This window comes from Homo sapiens, chromosome 1 (assembly GCF_000001405.40).
Source record: "Homo sapiens chromosome 1, GRCh38.p14 Primary Assembly".
Classification (NCBI taxonomy): Eukaryota; Metazoa; Chordata; class Mammalia; order Primates; family Hominidae; genus Homo; species Homo sapiens.
Window position 1 is genome coordinate 31869522 of NC_000001.11, and position 24421 is coordinate 31893942.

At 44.6% G+C, this 24421-nt stretch overlaps 3 annotated features.

Annotated features, from left to right (window-relative positions):
- Nucleotides 17400-17449: an enhancer, noted in NCBI's record as "active region_656". NCBI's record gives its function as "activates an Ori minimal core promoter by ATAC-STARR-seq in GM12878 lymphoblastoid cells {active_cell/tissue: GM12878}" and the evidence as "EXISTENCE:reporter gene assay evidence [ECO:0000049][PMID:35858748]".
- Nucleotides 19674-19723: an enhancer, noted in NCBI's record as "active region_657". NCBI's record gives its function as "activates an Ori minimal core promoter by ATAC-STARR-seq in GM12878 lymphoblastoid cells {active_cell/tissue: GM12878}" and the evidence as "EXISTENCE:reporter gene assay evidence [ECO:0000049][PMID:35858748]".
- Nucleotides 20014-20163: an enhancer, noted in NCBI's record as "active region_658". NCBI's record gives its function as "activates an Ori minimal core promoter by ATAC-STARR-seq in GM12878 lymphoblastoid cells {active_cell/tissue: GM12878}" and the evidence as "EXISTENCE:reporter gene assay evidence [ECO:0000049][PMID:35858748]".

A 24421-nucleotide genomic window follows, 5' to 3' on the forward strand; every position in this document is an offset into this window, starting at 1 on the left:
ACACATAAGCCAGCCAACAGTGTCTCATGTGAGTAGAAAGATTTTATTTTGTCTCCAGCACCCATATGGCTGGTAGCTGCTTCTGTCTTCTTGCTCTGCTGTTCTGTGGCTCTGGCATCACAGCCAAGTAAAAAAGAGGAAACCACGGATATGGAAAATATGATGAGCAGAGTCTGCCACAGGAGGATAGAGTCCCCAGGCCACCCTTGCTACCACCACTGTGGTGCCTTGGTTCAAGAATAAAATAATGCCCAAGTGTGGTGGCTCACACCTGTAATCCCAGTGCTTTGGGAGGGCAAGGCAGAAGGATCGCTTGAGGCCAGAAATTCAAGACTAGCATGGGCAGTGTAGCTAGACTCCATGTCTACAAAATAAAATAAAAAAAAAATAGGTGGGGCTGGGTGTGGTGGCTCATGCCTGTAATCCCAACACTTTGGAAGGCCGAGGTGGGCAAATCGCTTGATCCCAGGAGTTCAAGACCGGCCTGGGCAACATGGTGAAACCCCATTTCTACCAAAATTACAAAAATTAGCCTGGCATGGTGGCACATACCTGTAATTCCAGCTACTCAGGAGGCTGAGGTAGGAGGTTCGCTTGAACCTAGGAGGTGGAGGTTGCAGTGAGCTGAGATGGTGCCACTGCACTCCAGCCTGGATGAGACTGTATCTCAAAGAAAAAAAAGAAAAAATAGGCAGACATGGTGGTTTATGCCTGTAATCCTAGCTACTCAGGAAGCCGAGTCGGGAGGATCACTTGAGCCCAGGAGTTCAAGGTCACAGTGAGCTATGATTGTGCCACTCAACTCCAGCCTGAACAACAGAGTGAGACCCTGTCTCTAAAAACAATAAAATAGAAAATAAAATGACATAAAATAGATTCTAAGAGCTCTGAAAGCCAGATGGTGAGAGAAGCAGCTGAGGGAAGTTTTGGAGGCACCCTGTAGCTTCGAAGCTCCGTTCTGTTTCTGTATGTACCAGACGGGCAGCCCCTGCCTTCACCTCTGTCTCCCTGAGTGTATATGATAGACTGGCCTTGGCAGGGACATTGGCCTTCTCAGGCTGGGCAGTGGTGACTGGGGCTTCAAGAGCCTTCCCCATGGGGCCTCAGCTAGAGAGTTGATGCCGTCTGGTGACTGTAGTTTACTAACTAGTTTGGGGACCCTTGTATTGGTAAACTGGCTCAAAATTTTTCTTTAATTTAAGAAAACCACCCTGACTTGTAGCATTCATTAATTTCCATGGTATAAATATTCCCACCAGGGCCAATTTCAAGCTACCACCAAATAACAAGCAGCTCACAGGATTCCTGAAGATGTAACAATTGGCTCTAGGGCGCCTGTGCATGCTGACTCCAGCACGCCACTCCGGTGAGCCCTACTTTGGGAACTCCCAGAGATAACTGGGGATCCCTCTGAGGAGAGACTGAGGATTTGTCATCACATGAATGGGGTGTTGAGGTAATCAGGGAATTAAGCCCAACTTTGTAATAAGAAGCTGATAAAGTTAGGTACCCAAGCTATATGTGCACTAAAATGTTTTAATATGCATTCTTATTGTAAATAGACACAATGCTATTTATCCATTCAATAGGCATTTATTGAGAATCTCTTCTGTGCCAGGAACTGTTCTAGACACTAAGGATGATTAAAGTGAATAAGATAAAGTTTTGTCCTTTTGGAGTTTACAATCTAGAACATATGAAATGAGGTCAGAAAGTTACAATTATTACGAAGAAAATTAAAGCAGAGAAGGGGATAGAGAGGGCCAGGACTGCTGAGTGCAGTGGCTCACACCTGTAATCCCAACACTTTGGGAGGCCGAGGCAGGTGGATCACTTGAGGTCAGGAGTTTGATACCAGCCTGGCCTACATGGGGAAACTCCGTCTCTACTAAAAATACAAAAATTAACCAGGCATGGTGGCATGCGCCTGTAATCTCAGCTACTTGGGAGGCTAAGACAGGAGAATCACTTGAACCCGGGAGGCAGAGGAGGTTGCAGTGAGCCAAGATCGTGCCACTGCACTCCAGCCTGGGCAACAGAGCAAGACTCCATCTCAAAAAAAAAATTTAGCCAGACACAGTGGCGTACGCCTGTAATCCCAGCTACTCGGGAGGCTAAGGCAGGAGAATCGCTTGAACACAGGAGGTGGAGGAGGTTGCAGTGAGCCAAGATCGTGCCACTGCATTCCAGCCTGGGCAATAGAGCGAGACTCCATCTCAAAAAAAAAAAAAAAGAGAGAGTGCTAGGACTACCAGTTTAGAAAGGATGGTCTGGGAAGCTCTTCCTGATGAATTGACATCTGAGCAGAGAGGAAAATGAAGTGAGGGAGGGAGTCAGACCGCAATGCAAGGGCACATTCCAGGCAGAAGGGAGAGCAGGAGGAAAGGCCCTGAGATGGATGTAAAGTGGACATGAGTGAGAACAATGAGGTTCCAGTGTGGCTGAAGCTCAGTGAACCAGGGAGAGCAACAGCATGAAATCAAGTTAGAGAGGTAGCTAGGAGCCAACCATGTACACTAAGGATGGAGTTTGTATCTTATTCTTTTTTTGTTTTGATTTGTTTTGAGACGGAGTCTTGCTCTGTCTCCCACGCTGGAGTGCAGTGGTGTGATCTCAGCTCACTGCAACCTCTGTCTCCCAGGTTCAAGCCATTCTTGTGCCTCAGCCTCCCGAGTAGCTGGGATTACAGGCCTGTGCCACCATGCCCAGCTGGTTTTTGTATTTTTAGTAGAGACGGGGTTTCACCATGTTGGCCAGGCTGATCTCGAGCTCCTGACCTCAAATGATCCACCTGCCTCGGCCTCCCAAAGTGCTGGGATTACAGGCGTGAGCCACCGCACCCAGCCAAGTTTGTATCTTATTCTAAATGTGATGCAAAGACACTGGAGGGTTTGAGCAGGGAAATAACAATATCTCCTGTGTGAGGCAGGCGAATCACAAAGTCAGGATTTGAGCCCAACCTGGCCAACATGGTGAAACCCCGTCTCTACTAAAAAAAAAAAACAATTCAAAAAATTAGCCGGGCATGGTGGCAGGCACCTGTAATCCCAGCTACTCAGGAAGCTGAGGCAGGAGAATCGCTTGAACCCAGGAGGCAGAGGTTGCAGTGACCTGAGATCACGCTACTGCACTCCAGCCCAGGTGACAGAGTGAGACTCCATGTCAAAATAAATAAGTAAGTAAATAAATAAATAAATAAATAAGTGTTATCAAAAATAGAATGTGGGCCAGGGGCGGTGGCTCACACCTATCATCCCAGCACTTTGGGAGGGTGAGGCAGGCAGATCACTTGAGTGTAAGAGTTCGAGACTAGCCTGGGAAACATAGTGAGACATCTTCTCTACAAAAAATAATCAAAAATTAGCCAGGTGTGGTGGTGCATGCCTATACTCCCAGCTACTCAGGAGGCTGAGGGATGGGAGGATAGCTTAAGCCCGGAGGGGTCAAAGCTGCAGTGACCCGTGATCGCAGCCATTGTACTCCTGTCTGGGGACTAAGTGAGATATTATCTCAAAAAAAAAAAAAAAGAATGTGGGTGGGAGAGGAAGCAGAGAAAACAATAGGGCCTATTGCTACAGTTTGGGTGAGAAATGGTGGTGATGGTGGTTTGAGCTAAGGCTGTTGAAGTGGGGGAAGTAAGAAGTGGCTGGATTGAACTAGATTAGACAAGATTTAACAAAGAACCGGATATGAGATAAAAGGAAAAGAAAACGAATCTTGGATAACTCCAATACTTTTGCACTCTCCACTCAAAATTTTGGGATTGCTAGGGAAGGGCAGGTTTGGGTGAGAAGAACTAAGAGTTCAGTGGAAAGATCATATGTCTTTATTTTGCCTTCATTCCTGAAGGATATTTTTGCTGGGTGTAGAATTCTGGGTTGACATTTGTTTTCTTTCTGTGTATTAGACATTTGGAAGAAAAACAACCATAAAGGAGACATTTTCAGACAAATAAAAACTGAAACAGTTTGCCATCAACAGATCTAAATATACCAAAGACATTCTAAATATTTTATTTCTAGCAGATAGAAAATGATCTTGGGTGGGGGTGGTGGCTCACATCTGTAATCCCAGCAATTTGGGAGGCTGAGGCAGGCAGATTTCTTGAGCCCAGGAGTTCAAGACCGGCCTGGGCAACATGGGGAAACCCCATCCCTACAAAAAACACAAAAATCGGCTGGGCACGGTGGCTCATGCCTGTAATCCCAGCACTTTGGGAGGCCGAGGTCGGTGGATCATGAGGTCAAGAGCTTGAGACCATCCTGGCCAACATGGTGAAACCCCTTCTCTACTAAAAATACAAAAAAATCAGCCAGGCATGGTGGCATGTGCCTGTAGTCCCAGCTACTCAGGAGGCTGAGGCAGGAGAATCACTTCAACCTGGGAGGCAGAGATTGCAGTGAGCCGAGATCGTGCCACTGCACTCCAGCCTGAGCAACACAGCTAGACACCATCTCAAAAAAAAAAAAATCAGCCAGGAGTGATGGCATGTGCCTGTAGTCCCAGCTAGTCGGGATGCCAAGGTGAGAGGATCACTTGAGCCTGGGAGGTCGAGGCTGCAGTGAGCCATGACTGTGCCACTACACTCCAGCCTGGGTGACCGAGCAAGATCCTGTTTAAAAAAAAAAAAGAAAGAAAGAAAAAAAAACTGAAGTAAGAGGTTTATTTTATTTTATTTTATTTTATTTTTGAAATGGAGTTTTGTTCTTGTTGCCCAGGCTGGAGTGCAATGACGAGATCTCAGCTCACTGCAACTTCCACTCCCAGGTTCAAGTGATTCTCTTGCCTCAACCTCCCAAGTAGCTGGGATTACAGGCATGCACCACCACGCATGGCTAATTTTGTACTTTAGTAGAGACAGGGTTTCACTATGTTGGTCAGGATGGTCTCGAACTCCTGACCTCAGGTGATCCAACTACCTTGGCCACCCAAGTGCTAGGATTACAGGCATAAACCACTGCTCTCAGCCCTCAAGTAGGAGGTTTAAATGAACACTAATGTATATAAAATAATAATAATAGACTACATGTTTTAAAACAAATATTTCAGTCAAAAGGCAAAGATTACCAGACTGAATAATAAAAATCTAATTATATATTGTGCGTAAGAAACACACCTAAAGCACAGATATACAAAAAAGTTGAAAATTGGACTGCGCATGGTGGCTCACACCTGTATTCCCAGTACTTTGGGAGGCTGAGGCAGGCCGATCACTTGAGCCTAGGAGTCCAAGACCAACCTAGGCAACGTCATCTCTAGTGAGACCTCATCTCTACAAAATATAGAAAAAAAATAGCCAGACATGGTGGCACACGCATGCAGTCCCAGGTACTCAGGAGGCTGAGGGGAAGATTGCTTGACCCCAGGAGGCTGAGGCCATAGTGAGCCAAGATTGTGCCACTGCACCCCAGCCAGGGTGACAGAGCTAGACTTTTCTCAATTTTTAAAAAGAAAAGAAAAACAAAGTAAAGTTGAAAATGGAAAGATAGAAAAAGTATATTATGCAAAACTGTCTTGGGCTGCTATAACAGAATATCTAAGACTGGATAATTTATAATGTATAGAAATTTGTTTTCACAGCTCTGAAGACTGGGAAGTCCAAAATCAGAGTGCTAGCATCTGGCAAGGGTCTTCTTGCTGCATAATAACATGGTGAAAGGCAGACAGCAAAGGAGTGAAAGAGAGCGAGAGAGAGACAGCGAGAGACAGAAAGAGAGAGAGAGCACGTGCACCAGAGGGGGCTAACCCACTCCCAGCATTAATCCATTCATGAGGGTTGAGCATTTATGACCTAAACATTTCTTAAAGGTCCCACCTCTCAATACTGTCAAAATGGCAATTAAATTTCAACATGAATTTTGAAGGGGACAAACATCCCAGTCATAGCAAATACTAAACAACAGAAATCTGTTGAAATTAAATAAAGTTGAAATGAGGTTACAGAAGAAAATAGACTTTAAAGCCAAAATCATTTCATAATGGGAGAGGTCATTTCATAATGATAAAAATTTAATTAGCCAGAAAAATATAACAATTCTAAATTGGCATGTACCTAATAACATGCTTTTTATTTTATTATTATTATTATTTGAGGCAGAGTTTCACTCTTGTTGCCCAGGCTGGAGTGCAATGGCACGATGTCGGCTATGCAGTCGGATATAGACTGCAACCTATGTCTACTGGGTTCAAGCGATTCTCCTGCCTCGGCCTCCAGAGTAGCTGAGATTACAGCCGCCTGCCACCACACTCGGCTAATTTTTTTGTATTTTTAGTAGAGACAGGGTTTCACCATGTTGCCCAGGCTAGTCTCGAATGCCTGACCTCAGGTGATCCACCCACCTCAGCCTCCCAAATTATTGGGATTACAGGCTTGAACCTCCGCACCCAGCTACAACATGCTTTTTAAAAGATATAAAGTAAAAAATTAAAAATGGCAGAATGACAAAGAGAAACAGATAAATCCATAAATCCATAATCGTAGCAGGAAATGTTAACATATCTCTCTCCATTAGTTGCTAAAACAAGTAGACAAAAACAATCAGTAAGAACACAGAGGATTTAATGATTAACTAGCCTGACCTAGTAGACGTCTATAGAACACAGTATGCAACCACTGCAGAATCCATGTTGCTTCAGCACTCATGAAGTATTTCTAGAAATCAAATACATCCTGTATCCTTGGCCATTAAGCAAATCTGAACAAATGTCAAAGTATTAAAATGATATAGAATATGTTTTCAGACCACAATGCATATATGCTATAAATTAATAAAGAAAAGGTAATCATAAAATCCCCATGTATTTGGAAATTAAGATGTTTCTAAATAATCCATGTTATTCATTGACTACATAAAATCAAAATAATAATATCTCTTGGGGGTTAAAAAAAAGAAAAAACACACAGCGACAATAGTATATAAGCTGGAGACTGGTTAATGAAGTTAAAGTGTTTTGGGGTTGTTGCATAGTTCAGGGAAAAAAAAGGCATTGATTAATTTTAGACTTTGATAAGTCAGGAAGCAAGTTGAAATTACTAGGGTAACTACTACAAGAATAGAAACAGAAAAGAGATCTTTCGAACTAGAGGAAAAAGAGAACAAGACAAAATAACAGACCTCTCTCATAATTGATGGAAGCAGCAGACAGAAATCTAAGCAGGGATTTATAAGATTTGAATATATGTAGACTTCCACATAGATGTTAAAAAGGCCACTTCCAGCTATAGCTGGGACTGGCTGAGACTGGCTTAGTGTGCTAAGGTTTAGTTCACTAGTGGAATCTGGGCCCCAGGAGCATTGGTCCCAGGGTGGAGACCCCACCATATCCCTCAATCCTCATCACTTCAGTCTGTTTCACTGAACTTTCATCTTCCAGTTTCTGTATCTCATTACCTGGAGGCAATTTTTTTGGCTTTTTTTTTTTTTTTTTTTTTTTTTTTTTGAGACAGAGTCTCATTCTGTTGCCCAGGCTGGAGTGCAATGGCACGATCTCGGCTCACTGCAACCTCTGCCTCCCGGGTTCAACCGATTCTTGTGCCTCAGCCTTCCCAGTATCTGGGATTACAGGCGCCCGCCACCATGCCTGGCTAATTTTTTGTATTTTTAGCAGAGGCAGGCTTTCACCATGTTGCCCAGGCTGGTCTCAAACTCCTGAGCTCAAGCAATCCGCCTACCTCAGCCTCCCAAAGTGCTAGGATTATAGGCATGAGCCGCTGCACCCGGCCAAAGCTTTTTTCATTTTACTTTATATTTTATTTTTATATATTTTTTTGAGACAGAGACTCTTGCTCTGTTGCACAGGCGAAAGTGCAGTGGCATGATCTCTGCTCACTACAGCCTCGACCTCTTGGGCCCCCGTGATCCTCCCACCTCAGCCCCCCACATAGCTGGGACTATAGGCATGATGAATGATGAGCCACCATGCGCAGCTAATTTTTATGTGTATATGTGTGTGTGTGTGTGTGTGTGTGTGTGTGTGTATTTATATCTATATAGATAGATAGATTTTTTTTTAGTAGAGATGCAGTTTTGCCATGTTGCCCAGGCTAGCCTTGAACTCCTAGACTCAAGCGATCCATCCATCTTAGCCTCCCAAAGTGTTGAGATTACAGGTGTGAGCCACCGCTCCCAGCAGGCTTTTTTCAGAGCTACAAAAGACCTCTCTACCTGGAGAATGAATGGCAGGATAGGTGTATAAATACCCCAGCTCCCTCACCCATCTGGGAAGAGGACCCTGAGACTTTCTTCGGCTTCCCCATGGACTTTAGCTCTAGCTGCCCAAAGTGGTCTCTGGTGTGATAATACGCCCTTTACTGGGAGCCTTCCCTTTCTTGTACACTTCTCAGTCCTCTACTGGTGTTTCCTGTACTTCCTGAATTACTGTGCACTGAAGTCCATGTCTCAGGGTCTGCTTCTGGGGGAAGCAGACTTTTGTTGACATGTCTCCTGTGCCACTTCCCAGGACCTGTATTAAAGAGAGGCAGTTCCCCAAGTGTCTATTAGACACAAGAGCCACCCCTGAGTGGCTGCTGCTCCAAGGGCTGTGTGCTTATGAAGGCCACGGTCCTGGGCCATGGGAGAATCTTCTCTGTTTTGCAGAGAAGCACAAGACTCGGCGTTGGGCTGGCCAGCATCTAGGCCTCAGCTGGCAAGAAAGTCTGTAGGACCCGGTATGTGTCTCTTGGGGCTGAGAAGACGGCAGGCAAACCAGCAGCTCAAGACCATGTGGCCTCAGGCTGGGGTAACCCAGATCAAAGCTCCTCTGACCAGTCTCCAGGGAAGACTTTGTATCTTTGTTGCCAAGTACACAAACTTTCTTAAGGGGAAATGAGTCCGGGACTTTTTGGCTCCATTTAGGTTTCAAAAGAGCTAGATAGGGGACCTTCCAGGCCCCTTGGCCACCAATCCTTCCCATTCTGTGGCTGCAGCAGCACAAAGGGAATTTAGCAAACCTTATTTCAATAGTTGGAACCCAGCACAATTTGGAGGAAAGAGGATGGATTTTAGAACCAGGAAGAGCTCCATTCAAATCCCAACGTTGCCACTTGCTAGCTGGATAATGTTGACAAGTGACTCAGCCTCTCCAAACTGCACTTTCCTCACCTGTAAACCAGGTATAATAAGTGTATTACCTTATAGGATCACTGTGGGGATTAAATTAAATAATGCTTGTAAAAAACTTAGTACAGTATCTGGTACATAGGAAATAATAAATGGTACCATTGTTACCATGTTTGCCACAGCTTGATTATAATAACAAAAAATTGAAACAACTTAAATTCTATCGATAGGCAATTGGTTAAATAAAAGTGTTGGCTGGGCATTCTGGCTCACACCTATAATCTCAGCACTTTGAGAGGCCAAGGCAGGTGGATCATTTGAGGTCAGGAGTTCAAGACCAGCCTGGCCAACGTGGTGAAGCCCCGTATTTCTCTACTAAAAATACAAAAATTAACCAGGCATGGTGCCACATGCCTGTAGTCCCAGATACTCAGGAGGCTGAGACAGGAGAATCACTTAAGTCAGGGAGGCAGAGGTTGCAGTGAGCAATGATCACTCCAGCCTGGACGACAGAGCCAGACTCTGTCTCAAAAAAAAAAAAAAAAAAGGTGTTACATCCCTATATGCAGTAGGATGCTGTGCAGCCATTAAAAATTATAATGCGGGTTTATACCTGTTGATGTGGACAACTGTTCATGTATTTATTATTTAGTAGGAAAAAGCAGGTTACATATCAATATATACAGTGTGGACTTATTTTATGTTTAAATGCAAGTTTGGGCTGGGCACGGTGGCTCACGGCTGTAATCCCAGCACTTTGGGTGGCCGAGGCAGGTGGACCACCTGAGGTCAGGGGTTCAAGACAAGCCTGGCCAGCATGGCGAAACCCTGTCTCTACTAAAACTACAAAAATTAGCCAGGTGTGGTGGCACACACCTATAGTCCCAGCTACTCATGAGGCTGAGGTGGGAGGATCGCCTCCTCCCACCGGGAGTTGGAAGTTGCAGTGAACCGAGATCTCGCCACTGCACCCCAGCCTGGGCAACAGAGCGAGACTCCCTCTCAAAAAAGCAATAATAATAAATGCAAGTTTGTATATGTGTATATTGATGTATGTATAATTATAGGTATAAATGCCTAGAAAAATATTTGGAATAAGATATACCAAACCATTAATGGTGCTTATCACTGCAGGGTGGTACATGGGTAGATTTTTTTTATTTCTGCTTATCTGCATTATAACTTTTTAAAATAATGACCATGTGTGACATGTGTAATAAAAATAATAATAAAACATACGCTGGGTGCAGTGGCTCATGCCTGTAATCCCAGCACTTTGGGAGGCCAAGGCGGATAGATCACGAGGTCAGGAGTTTGAGACCAGCCTGACCAACATGATGAAATCCCGTCTCTACTAAAAATACAAAAATTAGCTGGGCACCTGTAATCCCAGTTACTCAGGAGGCTGAGGCAGAAGAATTGCTTGAACCCAGGAGGTAGAGGTTGCAGTGAGCTGAGACCCAACCACCGCACTCCAGCCTGGGCTACAGAGTGAGACTCCGTCTCAAAAAAAAAAAAAAACATGAAAATGTGTGGTCGAGAGCAAGATAGAGCTCCAGAAGAGATCTGCCCAACACAACACCAGCTGTGTGGCACACCTCTAACCCCAGGCAAATTACTAAAAACCTCTCAGCCTCAGTTTTCCTCTGTGTAAATTGGGTCATTGTAGATTAACTGAGATAATGCACATCAAATCCTCAGCTTGGTGCCCAGCACACAGTGAGCCACTGATCTTCAACAAGGCATTTGACCCAGGACTCCCAAGTCCAAGTTCATTACTATTCTCAGCCCATGGAACTGCCTCCAGCTAAAGATAAGGGCTGTTTCCTCAGTCACAGTGCTCCCTGCCATGTGGTGGAGACCTTATGTCTCTTCAAAGGTAATGACTGGCAAGACTGTTGTCGAGAGAGAGGGGAGAAAGAGAGAGAGAGAGACAGTGGCAGGGAGAGAGGAGAGGGAAAGACAACTGTTAGGCAGAGGTGGAGAGAGTCCATATTCTTCTGAACTGTTTGAAAAAAAAAACAGACTTGTTCATGAATTTCTTTTCGGGTTTAAAGATATGGGAATAAAATTCTTTTTAACACTTTGAATTAACAAACTATTGAGTTACTCCTTCAGCAGGAAGCTCTTTTCCTTCTGCAGAGCAAGTTCATTTCACGAAGTATAGTCTGAGGACCATCTGTATTAGGATCCTGGGCCCCACTCCGCCACCTCCTGCTCCAGTGAATTAGACTTTCTGGGGCAGCAGAAGAGTGGGGAGCCTGCGTAGCCTCACTTTAATTAGCTCCCCAGGTAATTCTTAAGGACATCAAAGTTTAAGAACTACAACTTTATGAATGCATTGGCATATCAAGCACTTAGAAATGCTATCTTCCCTGCAGTCTATGAGATTATATCACAGTTCAGTAAGTCAAGTGAATCCACCTGTGACTTTGCCATTATTTACCGTGCAAACTAAAATTATTCACCCCCGTAATCTCATGATCCTACTAATATCACTGGTCAAATGCTGCCTCAACTGGTTAAGAAATTATAATGCAATACTGTGTAAATATAGAACAAGAATGAGGAGGCTTTTTCCATTGTACTGTGGACTAAGCTCTGAGCTATGTAAAGTGAAAAAAAATCAGTGTTCAACAACGTGTTTGGTCTGCAAGCACTTGTGTAAAAAGAACGCCCCCCCACACACATATAAGATATACACATATATATTTGTATATGCAAATCTTTGTATATGCAAATATCTGGAAGACTATTTAAAGAACTGGGGGTGGGGAGGAGTTGTGGTTACCTCTGAGGACAAGGGGTGGCTGAGGACATGAGAAAGATTTTTCACAGTACTGTACACCCACCCTTGCTTTTGAATTTTGAACCATCTGAATACATTCCTTTTTCAAAAATAAATTAAACTCAAATGTAAAAATATGTTGCCTGGGTGTGCTATCTTTGAGCTGCTCTGAATGCAGGAGCCTCCCTCTTAACTCATCCCCGTGGCTCTCTGATACTCAGACTGTCTCTTCATCTAAGGCGCCCCTTCTACGAGTCAATCACTGACCTTGTCCATCCACAGACATATTTTGATCGGACTATTAAGCCAGACAACTCCTCTTGCACTTAACATTCCAGTCCAGAGGCAGCGAGAGCACACTTGCAAAAGATTCCATGATTTTAGACTTTGGCAAGAAGCAAGAGGTCAGTGTGCTTATGTAAGTCAACATTGCTTCTCAAAGGCGACGTGCTCAGGAAGGTAACGTGCATTCTCAGCCTAGCTCAGTCCACAGCAGCAACAGCAAGACTTGCACAGGACGAGAGGCAGCTTGGAGGGAGACAAGAGGGAGAGAGCTGAGTCTCCATCCTGCTGAGGGAACTGGACAGTCCCAAATTGATTGGCTTAAGTAAAAAGGAGAAATCTGTGATTAAGAATAGCATAAGGGTAGCCCAGGCGCGGTGGCTCACGCCTGTAATCCCAGCACTTTTGGAGGCCGAGGCAGGCAGATCACGAAATCAGGAGTTCAAGACCAGCCTGACCAACACGGTGAAACCCCGTCTCTACTAAAAATACAAAAATTAGTTGGGCATGGTGGCGCATGCCTATAATCCCAGCTACTCAGGAGGCTGAGGCAGGAGAATCGCTTGAACCCGGGAGGCAGAGGTTGCAGTGAGCCAAGATCACGCCACTGCATTCCAGCCTGGGCGACAGATCGAGACTCTGTCTCAAAAGAAAACAAAAAAGAATAAACTAAAGGTAACATAGGGTCCAGCCATTCCACTCCTAGATTTTTACACAAGAGAAAAAGAAATACCTATGTCCATACAAAGACTTGCACACACGTGTTCATAGCAGCTTTATCTGTAAAAACCCCAATCTGGGAACAGTCCAAATGCCCACCAATAGATAAGTGGATAAACAAATTATGGCATACCATACAATGGAAGAATCCTCAACAATAGAAACGAATAAACTATTGTTACATGTAACAACATGGATGATTCTAAAAATAATGATGCTGAGTGAAAAAAGCCAAAGAAGAGTGCATACTGTATGACTCCGTTTATAGAAAACCCTAGAAAATGTATGGCTGGGCGTGGTGGCTCATGCCTGTAATCCCAGCACTTTGGGAGGCTGAGGCAGGCGGATCACGAGGTCAGGAGATCGAGACCATCCTGGCTAACACGGTGAAACCCCGTCTCTACTAAAAATACAAAAAAATTAGCCGGGCGTGGTGGCGGGCACCTGTAGTCCCAGCTACTTGGGAGGCTGAGGCAGGAGAATGGCGTGAACCCAGGAGGTGGAGCTTGCAGTGAGCCAAGATCGTGCCACTGCACTTCAGCCTGGGCAACAGAGTGAGACTCCATCTCAAAAAAAAAAAAAGAAAAGAAAACCCTAGAAAATATAAGCTAACCTATAGTAACAGAAAACACATTCGTGGGTGCTCGAGATGGGGGCGCAAATAGGGCTGGGAGGGAAAGATTACAAAGGGGCAGGAGGAAACTCTTGGAGATGATGGATATGTTCATAATCTTAGTTGTGGTGGCGGTTTCACGGTGTAGTCACATGCCAAAACTCATCAAATTACACACTTTGAATATATGCAGTTTGTTGCATGTCAATTATACCACAATAAAGCTGTTTTTTGTTTGTTTGTTTTTAATCTTGGGTTATCCCATAGAACTCAAGAAATAGGTTATGCTTCCTGGATTGAAGGAAATGTCCTGTCTCTTGGCTGTGGTGGTAGTTACACAACTACACATTTGTTAAAACTCTTCCAACTGTGTGCTTAAGATCAGTTTTTTGGGGTTTTGTTTTGTTTGTTTTTTTGAGATAGGGTCTTCCTCTGTCACCCATTCTGGAGTGCAAGTGGTGCAATCACAGCTCATTGCAGCCTCAACCTCTCGGGCTCAAGTGATCTTCCCACCTCAGCCTCCCCAGTAGGTGGGACTACAGGCACACGCCACCACACCTAGATAATGTTTGTATTTTTTGTAGAGATGGGATCTCTAATGTTGCCCAGGCTGGTCTCAAACTCCTGGGCTCAAGTGATCCTCCCACCTCAGCCTCCCAAAATGCTGAGATTACAGGCCGGATCCACCACAACCAGCCCACAGGGAAGGATTCTGATTGGCCCACTTGGGGTTAGGTATTAGGCCTTCATTCATGTGTTCCAAAGATACTGAGCAGCACTGGCCAGCATCCTGTTGGGCCCTGGAACACTGTGGAGAGTGAGATAAATGAAGTCTCTGCCCCAGAGTGGCTTAGTCTGCTCCCACTTCAAATCAAGATAAGTACTTTCAACAACAAAAAACAGAGTTAGGGGACAGAAAGCAACTTTGGGAAGGCAGTGATCCAGATGAGGTGGTCAGGAATAGTCTCTAAGGTGACCTGGAACAGACAAAAGGGGCCCACTCAGCGAAGACCAGGCTGCAGGGAAGTGGGCTCCAGGCAGAAGGAGGAACAGGTATAAAGCCCCTGAGGCAGGAGCGGTGGCATGAGAGGCCAGGGTGGCTGAGCTCAGTGGGAAGGAGTTTGGGAGATGAGGCCGGATCCTACAGGGCTTTGCAGGGCAGGGAGAGGAATTTGCATTTTATTCCCAGTGTCTTGGGAAAACTCTGGAGAGCTGAGGCAGAATGGCTTGATGTAACTTTTTTTTTTTAGATGGAGTTCAGCTCTTGTTGCCCAGGCTGGAGTGCAATGGCGTGATCTCAGCTCATCACAACCTCTACCTCCCAGGTTCAAGTGATTCTCCTGCCTCAGCCTCCTGAGTAGCTGGGATTACAGGCACCTGCCACCATGCCCTGCTAATTTTGTATTTTTAGTAGAGACGGGGTTTCTCCATGTTGGTCAGGCTGGTCTCGAACTCCCGACCTCAGATGATCTGCCCGCCTCGGCCTCCCAAAGTGCTGGGATTACAGGCGTGAGCCACCGCGCCCGGCCATAAATTTTTTTTAAAGCTCCTCTGGCTGCCATGAGAATAGACTGTAGTGGGACAAGAGTGGAGCAGAGAACGAGGAGAAGCCTACTGTGGTCGGTCACATATTCGGAGGGATAGCCAACAGGACTTGCTAATGGATCAGGTGTTGGGAGGATGGAGGTGAGAGATAGGGAAGAAGAAGGCCCCCAAAAGAGAAATACATTGGATAAATGCAGCAGGGCAGGCAGAGTCTGGGTTACTAACAAGGCATCTTCCAGCTGATCACAAGGCTGAAGGTGGGCCTGGGGTGAACAAGCAGTCACTGTCATAGCTGCCGATTTTAAATTCCCTCTCTAGGCCGGGCATGGTGGCTCAGGCCTGTAATTCCAGAGCTTTGGGAGGCTAAGACAGGAGGATAGCTTGAGGTCAGGAGTTCAAGACCATTCTGGGCAACAGAACAAGATCCCCCCGCCACCAGTCTCTACAAAAACTGTTTAAAATTAGCCGGGCATGGTGGCACACACCTGTAATCCCAGCTGCTCCGGAGGCTGTGATGGGAGAATCGCTTAAGCCCAGGAGTTCAAGGTTGCAGTGAGCTCTGGTCACACCACTGCACTCCAGCCTGGGTGACAGAGTGAGCAGAAGTGGAGAGAGTATGTATTCTCCAGAACCTATCTCTGAAAAAAAAAAAAAATCCTCTCTGAATCTCTCAGGAAACTGGTCGGGAAAAGAAGAGGGTTGGAGTAGTCTCAGTGGTTCTCAGTGGGGGTGGAACCACTCACTACAGCATACTGACATTTAGAGGAGGGGACTAAGGATGCTAGACATCTGGAAACGTGGGAAATCCCACCCAATAAAGAATGGTCCCATGTCCCACTTCCAAATATCCCATTAAACATTTATGAAGATGAAAAGCCTGTACATGCAAGTATGGTTGTTTAAAAATACTTCCCATGGCTGGGAGTGGTGGCTCACGCCTGTAATCCCAGCACTTTGGGAGGCCAAGGCGGGTGGATCACCTGAGATCGGGAGTTCAAGACCAGCCTGGCCAACAAGGTGAAACCCCGTCTCTACTAAAAATACAAAAATTAGCCAGGTGTGGTGATGCCCACCTGTAATCCCAGCTACTCAGGTAGCTGAGGCAGGAGAATTGCTTGAACCTGGGAGGCAGAGGCTGCAGTGGGCCGAGATCACACCACTGCACTCCAGCCTAGGCAATAGAGCATGTCACCAATAACAACACTCATGGCTTTTGAGGTGCAATGTAGTCGAACCAATATGAATTTATAGCTGTGACATCTGGGGTGATTCTATGCATAGGTGCAAACATCTATTTCAGTGTCTTCCTAGGGTAATCGTGCCTAGATATTTACAAATTTAAAGTGCATTTATTATAAATTACTTTCCTTCTATTTCTCCTCTTTTGTACAGTTCAATTATAAGCCTAAGCATATTTTATATTTATATACATACACATACATTTAATCCTCAGACAATTCTATGAGGCAACACTGTCATTAGCTCCATTTTATAGATGAAGAAACTGAGGCACAGAGTGGTGCCAGAGCCCACAAGGCTGGTGAGCAGCTGAACAGGCATTTGAACCCAGGAAGTTTACTCCAAAACTCATATTGTCTAAAGCACTGTATCATATAGACTTCAGGTAGATTATTTTATCTATGTATTTTATTTCAGAATAGTAAGCTATTTACTAAATACTGGTCCGATAAAAATGAGATGCAATGGTCTCGAAGCTCTCTAGGCCTCTCCTACCTCTAAAATCCTTTTATTCTGGCTGTGTTCCTAAACACTCTTCTCATTCAAGTTAACCTGGAAGCAAGAGAACTTTCCTGAAGAGGCACCGTGTTATATCAAATTAGCGAGGCCATTTTGCTTTGTTTATTTATTTTATTTATTTTTTTGAGACAGTGTCTCACTCTGTCACCCAGGCTGGAGTACACTGGCGCGATCTCAGCTCACTACAACCTCTGCCTCCGGGGTTCAAGCGATTCTCTTCCTCAGCCTCCTGAGTAGCTGGGATTACAGGCATGCGCCACCACTCCCGGCTAATTTTGTACTCTTAGTAGAGACAGGGTTTCTCCATGTTGGTCAGGCTGGTCTCGAACTCCCGACCTTAGGTGACCCGCCCGCCTCGGCCTCCCAAAGTGCTGGGATTACAGGCGTGAGCCACCACGCCTGGCTGCTTTGTTTTTTAACCACGATACTCAAGTCTAGCAAAGATGCAATACAGGTTCTTAAACATTCCTGGAGGGAAGGCAACGAATGATCCCTTCTCAACATAAATTCAGCAACACGCCCCAAGAATTTATAAAATTCTCACATTCTTTGACTCTGGCTTCACTTCAGAACATCTTTCTTAAGGAAATATTTGTTATTGTGGTAGAATATACACAACATAAAATTTACCATTTTAACCATTTTAAAGTCTGTGATTCGGTGGCATTCAGTACATTCACAATAGTGTACAACCATTACCACTATCTAGTTCCAAAACATTTCATCACCCAAAAAGGAAACCCCATGTCCATTAAACAGCCACTCCCCATCCCGCCTCCCTCGGACTCTGGCAACCACTCATCTGCTTTCTGTCTCTATGAATTTGCCTATTCTAGATACTTCATATAAATGGAATCACACAATATGTGACCTTCTCTGTCTGCTTCTTTCACTTCAGCAAAATGTTTTCAAGGTTCACCCACATGGTAGCATGCATCAATACTTCATTCTTTTTTGTTTTTATTTCTTTTATTGACATAAAATTCACATAACATAAAATTAAATATTTTAAAGTGTACAAATCCATGACGTTTAGTACCTTCACAGTGCCCTGCAACTACCACCCTATTTCCAAAACATTTTCATAAGCCCAAAATAAAACCCCATATACATTAAGCAATTAATCCCCATTTTCCCCTCCCCTCATCCCCTAGCAACCACCAATCTACTTTTGTTCCCCTATAAAGTTAACTCTTCTGGATATTACTCATATAAACAGAATCACACGTTATGTGACTCTGTCCGGCTTCTTTCATTTAACATTAGGGTTTTGAGGCTCATCCACGTTCTGACATATATCAGGACTTCAGGACTGCACATCTTTTTATGGCTGAGTAATATTTCTTTTTTTTTTTTTTTTTTAGATGGAGCCTTGCTCTGTCACCCAGGTTGGAGGGCGGTGGCACAATCTTGGCTCACTGCAACCTCTGTCTCCCAGGTTCAAGTGATTCATTCTCCTGCCTCAGCCTCCCGAGTAGCTGGGATTACAGGCACCCGCCACCGTGCCTGGCCAATTTTTGTATTTTTAGTAGAGACGGGGTTTCACCATGTTAGCCAGACTGGTCTCAAACTCCTGACCTCAAGTGATCCACCCACCTCGGCCTCCCAAAGTGTTGGGATTATAGGCGTGAGCCACCGCGCCCAGTCTGGCTGAGTAATATTTCATTGTATAGAGATACCACATTTTCTTTGTCCATCCATGGGTGGTCATTTCCACTTTTGGATTATTGTGAATAATGTTGCTATGAACATTTGTGTACAGTTTTTATTTGAACACTTGTTTTCTTTTTGTTTTTCTTTTTTTTTTTTTTTTTTTTGAGACGGAGTTTTGCTCTTGTTGGCCAGGCTGGAGTGCAATGGTGTGATCTCGGTTCACCGCAACCTCCGCCTCCCGGGTTCAAGCGATTCTCTTGCCTCAGCCTCCTGAGTAGCTGGGATTATAGGCATGTGCCACCACACCCAGCTAATTTTGTATTGTTAGTAGAGATGGAGTTTCTCCATGTTGGTCAGGCTGGTCTCGAACTCCTGACCTCGGTGATCCTCCCGCATCAGCCTCCCAAAATGCTGGGATTACAGGCGTGAGCCATCAATTGAACACTTGTTTTCAATTCTTCTGAGTACATACCTAGAAGTGGAACTGCTGGGTCAGACAGTATTCTATGAATTCTATGTTTAGCTTATTGAGGTCCTGCCAAATTGTTTTCACGGCAGCTGCACCATTTTACATTCCCACCAGCAATGTTCCAATTTCTCCTTCTCCACATCCTCGCCAACACTTGTTACTTTTCTTATTATAACCATCCTAGTGGGTATGAAGTGGTATCTCATTGTAGTTTTATTCGCATTAATCTAGTGATTAATGACATTGAGCATCTTTTCATGTGCTTTTGGCCATTTATATATATTATTTGGAGAAATGTCTACTCAAGTCTTTGCCCATTTTTAAATTGGGTTGTTTGTCTTTTTGTTGTTGAGTTGTGCCTAAGGAAGTAATTTTAAATTTTAAAAAATATAGCCGGCGTGGTGGCTCACGCCTGTATTCCTAGCACTTTGAGAGGCCGAGATGGGTGGATTACCTGAGGTCAGGAGTTCAAGACCAGCCTGGCCAACATGGTGAAATCCCGTCTCTACTAAAAATACAAAAATTTGCCAGGTGTGGTGGCAGGCGCCTGTAATCCCAGCTACTACACAGGAGGCTGAGGCAGGAGAATCGCTTGAACCTGGGAGGCAGAGGTCGCAGTGAGCTGAGATTGCGCCATTACACTCCAGCCTGGGCAACAAAGCAAAACTCCATCTCAAAAAAAAAAAAAAAAGAAGAAGAAGAAGAATATGATCAGGGAACTACAAACAGTTTTCTGGGCTGTGGTATAAGGTTCAGTGCAGACAAGCAGGAAGGAGCTAGAACTAGAAGGATTTTTCATGCTAAACCTTTACCTGAAGGCCCAGGGAGCTTCAGAAGGAGGTGCCATGATCAACCTATGTGTTGGAAAGATCACTCTGACACCCCATGGAGGATGCACTATGGTGGGGCCAGACTAGGGTCTACTCAGGAGGCTGTTGTGAGACAAAAGGAACTAAGACAGTCGCGGTGGGCGGGGACAGGAAGTAAGACATTAACAACTGCCGCACATTAGACTGTGAGCCACACAAGGTCAGAAAGCAGATATGATTCCTGTATCAGAGTTCCTGCCTGTTACGCATTGAACGCTGTCTTAGTCCATTTGGGCTGCTATAACAGGGTGGCTTATAAACAACAGAATTTGTTACTCATAGTTCTGGAGGCTTGGATGTCTAAGATCAAGGCCCTGACAGCCTCAGTGTCTGGTGAGGGCCCACTTCCTGGTTCACAGATAGTGCCTTCTTACTATGTCCTCACATAGTAGAAGGGCCAGGCTAGCTCTCTGGGGTCTCTTTATAAGGGCACTAATCCCAATCATGAGTGTTCTGCCTTCCCAAAGACCCCACCTCCTAATACCATCACCTTAGGAGTTAGGATTTCAACATATGAATTTGAGGGGAACACAAACATTCTGACTATAGCAGAGTATGTCCCTCCAAAAGAGCTATGTTGAAGTCCTAACCCCCAGTACCTCAGAATGTGACCTTATTTGGAAATAGAGTCATTGTAGATGTAATTAGTTAAGAAGAGATCACACTAGAGTAGGGTGGACACTTAATTCACTATAACTGTTGTCCTTATAAGAAGACAGTCATCAAGAGTTTGAGATCAGCCTGGCCAACATGGTGAAACCCCGTCTCTACTAAAAATACAAAAATTAGATGGGTGTGGTGGCACACACCTGTAATCCCAGCTATGTGGGAGGCTGAGGCAAGAGAATCACTTGAACCCAGGAGACAGAAGTTGCAGTGAGCCAAGATCGCACCACTGCACTCCAGCCTGGATGACAGAGTGAGACTCTGTCAAAAAAAAAAAAAACCTTGAAACACAGAGTGGGCAAGCAAATTTCCCAAGGTTTCCAAAGCTAGTTAAATGGCAGAGCCAGGATCTGATGCCTGGCAGGCTGACTTCAGGCTCCAGTGCTCTTACCCAATATACTATGCAGCTGTTCTATTAAATATTTGCCGGAAAGTTCAACAGATGGATAAATGAATGACTGGATCAATCTGGATTTGGTACCAGAGTAAAAAGTGAAGATGGGTGGGGTGTGGTGGCTCATGCCTGCAATCCCAGCACTTTGGGAGGCTAAGGTGGGAGGATTACTTGAGGCCAGGAGTTCAAGACCATCCTGGGCAACATGGCAAGGCCCCATCTCTATAAAAAATAAAACAATTAGCTGGGCGTGATGCCCTGAATCTGTAGTCCCAGCTACTCGGGAGGCTGAGGTGGGCGGATCATTTGAGTCTGGAGAGATCGAGGCTGCATTGAACCAGGATCAGGACACTGCATGGGTTCGATGGCTCACGCCTGTAATCCCAACACTTTGGGAGGCCGAGATGGGTGGATTGCTTGAGTCCAGGAGTTCAAGACCAGCCTGGGCAACATGGAGAAACCCGATCTCTACAAAAATACAAAAATTAGCCGGGTGCTGGTGGTGTGTGCCTGTAGTCCCAGGTACTCGGGAGGCTGAGGTGGGAGGATCACTTGAGCCCAGAGGCAGAGGCTGCAGTAAGCTGAGACCTGTGCCACTGCACTCCAGCCTAGGCAACAGAGTGAGACCCCTCCTCAAAAAAAAAAAAAAATAAGTGAGGATGACTCCCAGGTGTCTGGCTCAGATGACTTAGTAGGTAAGGTATCTCCATTTAATGAGACAGGAAAAAGAGAGGCGACATCAGATTTGTGAGGTGGAGGTTGGAGTCTGGGGAAACAACAAATATGTTCTTGAAATGCTGAGTTTGAATTACCAAGAAGACAAACAAGTGATGTCCAATAGACTGCTGGACACATGGGTCTGGAACTCCAGAGAGGCGCATGGGTTAGAATTATAGACTTGGGAGCCATCAGTATACTTAATGTCAGGGTTTGAATGAGATCACCAAAGCACAGTGTATAGAAAGAGAAAGCAGATGACCCAAGACAGAGCCCTGAGGACACTGGAATTCACAGGGCAAGGGAAAGAAAAGAATCCTTTACTTCCTAGCAAAGGGTCTGTCGTGGAAACGACAAGTCAGGTTGTGGTGGCTTGAGGAATGAATAGAAAATGAATCACAGGGTAAATGTATGTGTTACAGGTGAGAAAGTGACAGATGGATTGATGGGCTGTGGCAGAGAATCAGTATGGAAATGACTGACTAGACACGGTGGTTTGTTGGTTGGAGCCAGCTTGCATCAAATGAGAGCTGATTACTAAATTTCAGAAATGTTGCAAGCTGGTTGTTAGATACAGCTTTTTTTTTTTGAGATGGAGTTTCACTGTTGTTGCCCAGGCTGGAGTGCAATGGCGCGATCTCGGCTCACTGCAATCTCTGTCTCCCAGGTTCAAGCGATTCTCCTGCCTCAGCCTCCTGAGTAGCTGGGATTATAGGCATGCGCCACTATGCCCAGCTAATTTTGTATTTTTAGTAGAAATGGGGTTTCTCCATGTTGGTCAGGCTGGTCTCGAACTCCCAACCTCAGGTGATCTGCCTGCCTTGGCCTCCCAAAGTGTTAAGAATATAGGCGTGAGCCACTGTGCCCAGCCAATACAGTCATTATTAAAAAATTAGTTGAAGAGACTTACAATCAAATATAAATTAAATTAATAACAAAGGTCATAAATTCTTAAAACTCATCACTTCCTAATTATTTTACTAGGCTTTATTATCCATGCTCTTATACTTACTGTATCTATATGGTGGAAATGCCATAATGATGTGCCACTGCACCTCGTTTCCCAGCTCTGTGTTCAGTGATGTCAATTGGTAGCTTGAAACTAACCATGGAAATTACCACATGCTATAAGTCAGAACTTGATTTATTTATTGTTTTATTGATTGTTTAGACTTATGAAAGTAAAGGAGAAAATGTTAGTAATGCGGCTTTTACTTAAAAGTGTATCATGTCTGTAGCCATCACATTGTAAACAGAATTTTTAAAAACTGAAGAAATAGTCTTCCAGTATTCAAAAGCAATTATCTGGCCAGGCGCTGTGGCTCATTCCTATAATCCCAGCACTTTGGGAGACCAAGGCTGAAGAGTCATTTGAGACTGGAAGTTCAAGATCAGCTTAGGCAACATAGAGATGCTCTGTCTCTACAAATAAATTGGCCAGGCATTTGACACACGACTGTAGTCCTAGCTACTCAGAAGGCTGAGATGGGAGGATCCCTTAAGCTCAGGAGTTCGAGGGTACATTGAGCTATAATGGTGCCACTGTACTCCAGCCTGTGCAACAGAGCAAGACCCTGTCTGTAGATGAATGAATTAATAAAATAAAACTATTATCCAATTCCTCAAAGAAGTCACTCATATCACTAATGAATGAGTGAAGTTTTGACATATGTCTTCATTGTTTAACTTTCAAGTCCTTTACATAAAGGCAAATATCAACCAACATTTATGTTGGGTTTGTCAATTGTAACCACAGGTTGCCCAGGACATAAAAGTTTGGCAAAAATCAACAAAAGCAATCTGTGAAAATCAATTGTCTATATGGAATTTATAATACAATTTAATTATGTGTTACATATCCATTATGTCACTAAAATGTGTAGTAAACTAATGTGTATGTATGTATATATGTACACATATACACATATAGCTATGTATGAACACATATACACATATATCTATGTATGTACACATATACACATATAGCTATGTATATACACACACACAAATGTTTTTCCCCCCAGACATTATTCAACCTCCTCATGACGTAAGAGGCAGAACAGTCCCACTGCCATGGGAATAGGTCATTGGAGTTAAAGTAGTAAAGGCCTTCAGCACTGAGAGGGCTGGAAGAGGCACTGAATTCATGCAGGATAAAAGAATGACTAAAGGATGTGGGTCTGTTAGGCCCAAGAAACTCCATGCATTGAGTGATGAGAGAACTCCATGCATTGAGAGAACAGTAGCAATGAGGATGAGTAGTTGTAACAGCCTGACGATAACTATCTCAAGCTGGTACTACCCAAGAACAATGGTCTGGATGTGGCTGCAGGGGGCTGACTCCTTGGTTCTCACTGGCCTGTGGTATATGGAGAATGAGTAGTCCCCATTTATTAGGTTACAGAGAAATAAGTGTCCTCAGGAGACAACCTGGTTTCAGTTCATAATAATAGCTTCCATTTATTGAATGCACGGGGACTGTGGTACAGCAGTGTGATCAGAGCTTCTGAGTTAGACATTTCAGGTTAGAATTCAGGCTCAGCCACTTACTATACATGTGAGACTGGGCAGGCTACTTACCTTCTCTGAGCTTTCATGTCCTAGTGTGTAAAATGGAGAAAACGTCATTTACCATGCAAAAGATAGTACACTTAAAAAGTAAGCATACAAGGGCCGGGCACGGTGGCTCACGCCTGTAATCCCAGCACTTTGGGAGGCCAAGGCAGGCGGATCACAAGGTCAGGAGATCGAGACCACCCTGGCTGGCACGGTGAAACCCCGTCTCTACTAAAAATACAAAAAAATTAGCCAGGCGTGGTGGTGGGCGCCTGTAGTCCCAGCTATTCGGGAGGCTGAGGCAGGAGAATGGTGTGAACCCAGGAGGCAGA